At 41.0% G+C, this 7,163-nt stretch overlaps 1 annotated feature.

Annotated features, from left to right (window-relative positions):
• Positions 3,470-3,764: an enhancer, noted in NCBI's record as "tiled region #14251; HepG2 Activating non-DNase unmatched - State 7:EnhWF". NCBI's record gives its function as "activates a minimal TATA promoter and a strong SV40 promoter by Sharpr-MPRA in HepG2 cells {active_cell/tissue: HepG2}" and the evidence as "EXISTENCE:reporter gene assay evidence [ECO:0000049][PMID:27701403]".

Genomic DNA, 7,163 nt, shown 5'->3' on the forward strand with positions numbered 1-7,163 from the left:
TGCACTCCAGCCTGGTGACAGAGCAAGACTCCATCTAAAAAAAAAAAAGAGCAAATACACAAAATATCAAATGCTGCTAAAGTCAAATAAAACAAGGACTGAAAATGTCTAGAAGATTCCCCAGTTGGTGATTTTGGTGGAAGCAGTTTCATCAGAAAAGTTATGAAGCAGAGCCCATTTTGCAGTAGATTGAGGAATCATGGTAGACTAGGATGTAGTTTACTCTTCAAAGGACAGAGCTTATAAAGAGGGCAGAGACAGAGGCAGCTGGAAAGAAATAGGAATAGAAAGAAGTTTTCAGATCTTGATTTATTTGTTGGTTTTAAGGGAAAGACTTTAGCATGTTAAAATGCTTTTAGGACTGAGGCCAAAGACAGGAGGAAGTGTACCTCTTGCATTGTTAAGAAGAGGTAAAGAATGTTCTGGCTGCTTAAATCAGCCCTGGCTCATACCTCTTATTCCACTGTAATGATTAACTGTACGCCTTTTACGCTGTGGTGTTACAGTTTGGAAGAAAATTTATATAGTCCATCTACATAAAGGGGAGCCCCCAGATGGGGCACAGGTACAGTTAACTTTGAAGGTAAAAGGGTTGGGACAGAAAGTTGAAGGAGTTTTTGATCTGGGCGTGTGTGTGTGTGTGTGTGTGTGTGTGTGTGTGTGTGTGTGATTTTATAGTTTTTTCTCCCCTGTAAGGGAGTTATCATCTAGTGGTCTCTACTTTCCTTGTGTAGTAGAGAAGGAAAGTCACTGTCCTAGAGTAGAGGAGATGGAGAGGCAGAAGTCTTGAAGACAGAGGTGACCCAACGGTTTTTTGACAGGAATAAGAGAGGAAATTGGCCTAAGGCTGAGACTTAAAGAGATCAAGTAGTATAACCAAGGTCACCAGGCTAGTGATATAGTCAGACTCACAACAAGACCTGCCTAACTCACAGGTCAACTCCAGAGACAACTTCAACTCCTCCTTCAACATCAGTCTCCCTTCCTCATTAGAATCTACCAAACACGTCAACAGTCAACTCTCAGTTGTATGTACCAACCACTCTTTGACCAGTAGTGCCTTCCTTCCCTCCCCAGAACTGCACCTCCACCATTCTGGAAGACTTTTGAAGCAAAAGCAAATGAAATAAACAGTAGGCATCCTTTTCTCAGCATCTCTCCTGAAAGAAAAAGTCGAAGGGAAAATACTTGGAATTTTTGCCTACAATGAGGTTAGGACTGTGCAAAATCTCATTTTGTTCCGTTTGCCTCCTATTACTTTAAAAAAATAGTTTTGAGCAACTACCAAGTGTCAGGCACCATCCTCAGGAATTCAAGGGTGAAAATGATAAGATCTTAGCCCTCAAGGAGCTCTCAGGTTAAAGAAAAAGAAAATTAGTCACAATACAGGGTGACGTCAATAATAAAGGAAATGCCAAGTTCAAATGATAGCACAGGAAGAACAAGCTCTGCCTGGAAGCATGAGGGAAGCTGTCTCTGAAAAGGCTAACCATACATGGCATCCTTTAGCCAAGACCCGATGACAAAAGAACAGGGGGGCTGGGTTAGGGTGAAATAGCATGGCTCACACAAGAGCTTCAAGTCAGAGGCCAGCTTGTGGGAATCGCAATAACTACCATTTGTTAAATAATTTTCTTTCTTTTTTTATTTTTGAGACAGAGTCTCACTCTGTCACCCAGGCTGGAGTGCAGTGGCTCGATCACAGCTCACCGCAGCCTCCACCTCCTGGGCTCAAGCGATCCTCCTGCCTCAGCAACCCAAGTAGCTGGGACCATAGGCACGTGCCACCACGTCCACACTTGGATTCTTTGTAGAAACGGGGTCTTGCTACGCTGCCTAGGCTAGTCTTGAACTCCTGGGCTCAAGCAATCCTCCCACCTTGGCCTCCCCCAGTGCTGGGATTACAGGCGCGAGCCACCGCACCCAGGCAATAATTTTCTTTTAATATCTTTACATCTCACAACAACCTTAGAAAGTACTTTATTAATCTCCTCATTTTGCAGATGAGGGAAATGACACTAGGACATTTAGTAACTTACCCAAGCTTACATAGCTGGGAAGTAGTACAACTGGGCTTTAATTCCAAACTCCATGATCCTTCCTCCACAAAACAAGCTTAAGACAGAAGAGGCAGAGCAGCAGGAAAGGAGCTGTCAAAGGTGAGAGTCTTTTGTCTCCAGTTTGGTCCAAGGGTTTTTCATTGAAGTCTGATGATGTCAGGGAAATTCTAAGAAGTGATGGGAATTTTAAATAAGTGTGAAAGAGAAAGGCAACAGAGATTTGTCAGTAATGCTAAAGAGGTTTTACCTTTTTCATTATCAATGGGTTTTGTACACATATAAGGATTTAAGCATAGGTATGCAAAAGTGGTTGCATGGAGCACTCACTGAATCAGAACAGGAAGAGGGGTAGAGGAAAATCTGAAGGTTAGGTGGATTCTCCACAAGAGGTACACTGTCCCAGGCAGAGTGGAAAAAGGCTCCACCTTTTCCAACACCATTAAACATTTTGATCCATCAATACCACTGAGACAGTGAGCTTACGTTTGAAAACAGACATAAGCTTTTTTGGAGGAAAGCTGATCTTGCAAGTAGCCTACTTGAATAACAGCAGTGGAAGCTTAGAAGCTCATGGCAAGAACTGACTTGTAATCCCCACCAGTAATTCTTGTTTTCCCTGGCCTCAGCCTCAGCAACTTTCTGTCCAGGGTCCTTGACTTACTGTAACTCCACCTCTTGTTCTTTGCTCTTTTCACAAGCCATCTCAGCCATCTCAGGGGAGAAAAGGGGGCAGCAGACACATTTTGTTTGAGATAATGTAAGCAGGGAGAAGTATAGAATCAATAACTCAAGCAATGGGAAGAGTTTGCCTGCTTAAAACTCAAAATTGCAAGAAGCCGTGGAGACCTATTACACTAACATCTAGATTGGCATCTGGACAGACACCACTCCTCAAGATATTAGTAGGTACTGAACAACAGAAAAGATTCTGTACACAAGGGAAAATGCTAGATTAAACTAATGAAAAGAATTTTGTTTTGGTTTGGTTTTAGCTACAGTACTCCTCAGGGCTTTCAATATGCTAACATGGGACCAGGTTTTTTATACCTTACCTAGTCATCTTTCCAGAACTTTCTGTTCACTGAAAAAAATTGGGACAATGCATCTCAAAGTGTGGCCTGCAGACTACCTGGAAACTGTCACTGGTCCTTAAGGAGATAAATACAAAACCTGAGAGTAAGTATTTAAAGTTATTACAAGTAATTTGACATTGCCTCAACATCCAAGGCTGTGATCAGAGGACTCACTGGACAGGTTATAGAACAGTGCAGGGGTTGCAAATTGTATGGCAGGAGGCATCATCATAGATCTGCCAAATGCTGAAAAGCAGCAAAGGTGCTGAGTTAGCTAAGGTATTTCAGCCTTTCTACCTTCCCCTCCATTTCCCATTGAGGCCTGAAGCTTCAAGAGAACAAGCAGGTTGGACTTGTCAGAGTTGAGAAGCCTTTCTGAGTAGAAAGGGCAGCCAGCTGCTTGTCCAGGCAAACAGGATGTGAGTCTTCTCAGGTGAGTCAGAGCTAAAGAGGAAAGCCTTTCCTGCCTAGCTCAGTGAGGGGGTCCACCCTTAGCTTTGGAAAGGGGAAAACTCAGGGAAAAGTCCCAGCAACATCGCTCTTTTCTTGCAGTTTGTTCCAATGTTATATGCTGTCTTGAGTGTCAATATCTGCTGAGCTACATTAGCAATAACCAAGAGGAAAAGAAGCTTTTAAAGCCAAAGAAAAATTGTCATTTAAAGTTGTCACCTTGGGGACAAGCTTTTATTCTAATGATGCTGACGTTATTCCAGATATTTCTAGAACATTTTTAGAATTGCCTTAGGAGTTTGAATCATAACATTTTTCGATTTAAAAAAAAAAAACCAGGGTCTCGCTCTGTTGCGCAGGCTGTAGTGCAGTGATGCAATCTCGGCTCACTGCAACCTCTGCCTCCTGGGCTCAAGCAATTCTCCCACCTCAGCCTCCCTAGTAGCTGGGACTACAGGCACGTGCCACCATGCCCGGCTAAGTTTGTATTTTATTTGTATTTTTAGTAGAGACAGGGTTTCACCATGTTGGCCAGGCTAGTCTCAAACTCTTGACCTCAAGTGATCCACTCACCACAGCCTCCCAAAGTGTTGGAATTACAGACATGAGCCACTGCATCCAGCCTTGAGATTTTTACTGATGGCAAATCCTCATGCTTTTGAGAATGGGCTTGATTTTTGGACACATTTAAAAGTCATGTAGATCAAATCCAAAGAAAGTAAGAAAGTGAATGACCAAACCAGGCACTGATTATAAAATCATAAGTATGATGACTTGTGAAATGCATAAATGGTCCCTGAGGATCCTTTAAAAGACAGGATTCTCTTTAAAAGCTCTTTAGGCCAGGATCGGTGGCTCATACCTGTAATCCCAGCACTTTGAGAGGCTGAGGTGGGCGGATCATTAGATCAAGAGATCGAGGCCATCCTGGCCAACATGGTGAAACCCCGTCTCTACTAAAAATACTAAAATTAGCTGGGCATGGTGGTGTGTGCCTGTAGTCCCAGCTACTCAGGAGGCTGAGACAGGAGAATTGCTTGAACCCAGGAGATGGAGGTTGCAGTGAGACGAGATCACGCCACTGCACTCCAGCCTGGGCAACAGAGCAAGACTCTGTCTCAAAAAAAAAAAAACCTCTTTAAAAACTGTTTTGTGCATAACTATAATAAAGGTATAATTTTCCATTTACTTTAAGGTCTCTTATCTTATTAAGCTGGATGTATACCTTAACTGGCTCTTCTTAATTCACAGATTAAGGCCTTTCATGATCTGCCTCTGTCAACTAACCAGCCCCTCTTTCCCCACTTTCCAGGCTCCTTAAGCCTTATTCATCACTATGCCAAACTAATCACATACTTGTTCTTACCTCCACATATATATTTGTGCATATGTTCTGTCTACTTTATCCAGCTGATCAACTCTTATTTGCCTTTCAAAATTAAGTTCACATTCCATGAAGCCTTCCCTGTCCCCTGGACCTGGAGTTAATAGTTCCCTTAGCACCTTGGGACACCTTTTTTATAGCCTTTGCTGCACTGTATGGTCATTACTTGTTTACACGTCTGCCTCTACTGTAGACTGAATCCCTCCAGGGCAGGGTTCATGTCTCTGTATCCCCAACACCTAACTGTTAGGCACATAGTAGATGCTCAATACGCATTTGCTGGATGAGTGAATGCATTCTTACTGAAGCATCTGTGTGCCCCACACCTCAGTGATGCTAAGCAGTATGGAGCTCCCACTGTTGGAACCTAAAGAAGTTTACTAAGGAAGTGAAGTGACAACCTAAAACTCAGTCCCAGCTTTAACTTGGCTTATCTTTGCATCTAAGTGAAGATCATCTCTAAGACTGGGATATCTACACTGAACAAGGGCTTCCCACCTTCCTCTGTTTTCAGCCTAGGTGCAACCATGAAAGGAAAGGAGCAAATGTAATCTGTATCATAATATATTCTATTTGAACATGATTAAATTAAAACTAATTGATAATGTCGATTAAATAATAAACACTAATTAAATACTAATTGTCAGAATGTGTCTCCTACTTTTATTCACTCTTTATAAGTTTTAATTACTAAGTTAATGATCAAGAATGGTACTATGTTGGGCTGAAACCTAGGATTTGGAATATACCCATTCATTCATCTACCAAATAATGTTTAAATTGAATTTAAAAACTAAGGCTGAATAATTATAGAGCACCTGTTATATGTCTAACACTGTGCTGAAAAAAAATATATGAAGATGCCATATTTAGCTTCATGGAATTCACAACCCAGATACTAGAACCTTCCATCTGCAAAGCTCTTTGCAAAGCATTTGAATACATTGTATCATTTAATTCTCACTATTCTATTCTACCCAATTTTCCTCATCTACTTTAGATAAGGAAAATGAGGATGACAGAGATGAAACAGTTTACCCAGTTACTCAGCTCACTCTGGCTAGAAAATAAATGGAAAAATTAGGGCTGAATCTGGGAGTTCTGTCTCTAAATCCAAAGCTTTTCTCATGGGCTCACACAAAGTCAATAATTTTTTTTTTTTTTTTTTTGCTTTTTACTATGGAACATTTCAAACATATACAAATGTAGATAAAATAATATAACAAACCCCATGTCCTATCACCCAGCCCTTATTATCAGCAACCCATGGTCATTTATGTCTTTATCTACCCACCCAATATTATTTTGAAGCAAATTGAAGATACCATATCATTTTGCCCATAAATATAACTTCTGTTAAAAGATAAACTTTGGCACACTTTAAAACTTTGAAGAGTTTATTTGAGCAAACAGCAATTCATTGATCAGGCTGCTCCAAACTGGAAATGGTTTGGGCTTCGAGGACGGAGCAAGAGGGGAAGGCTCTAATAGGGTAAATGCAGAAGCAGAGCAAAGAAATTATTTGATTGGTTAAACTTCCAGAATTTCCTTATTTAGACTATCCAATAGGAAGTTAAAGACAATATAACTAATGCCCAGATGGCCTTCTGTGATTGGCTAAGTTTCTTTTAAATTAACTGCTTACAGGAAATGAGACTGAGTTAGGTTTTAGCTTGCTTAGTAGGAACTTAGTTAGAGCCTCCTCAGTCTAATGCCCCCCCCATTTAATTATTTAAATACTTCAACACCATTATCATATTTTATTTTATATTTTTAGAGATGGAGTCTTGCTCTGTCACGCAGGCTGGAGTGCATGGCACAATCAATTATCTTGCCTCAGCCTCCCAAGTAGCTGGGACCACAGGAGTGCACCACCATCCCTGGCTAATTTTTTTTTTATCTTATAGTAGAAACAGTCTGTCTATGTTACCCAGGCTGGTCTTGAACTCTTGGCCTCAAGCAATCCTCCTGCCTCGCCCTTCCAAAGCGCTGGGATTACTGGCCTGAGCTACCATATCCAGTCTCCATTATCATATTCTAAGAGAATTAGCATTTCCTAAATGTCAAATAACCAGTGTTACAATTTCCAGTTATCTCATAAATGTTATAACATGTTTTTACAATTTGTTTATTTGAATGAAGGTCCAAATAAGGTCTAAAATTTGCAATTGGTCTTTATGTTTCCTAGATCTCTCT

This window comes from Homo sapiens, chromosome 11 (genome assembly GCF_000001405.40).
Source record: "Homo sapiens chromosome 11, GRCh38.p14 Primary Assembly".
NCBI lineage: Eukaryota > Metazoa > Chordata > Mammalia > Primates > Hominidae > Homo > Homo sapiens.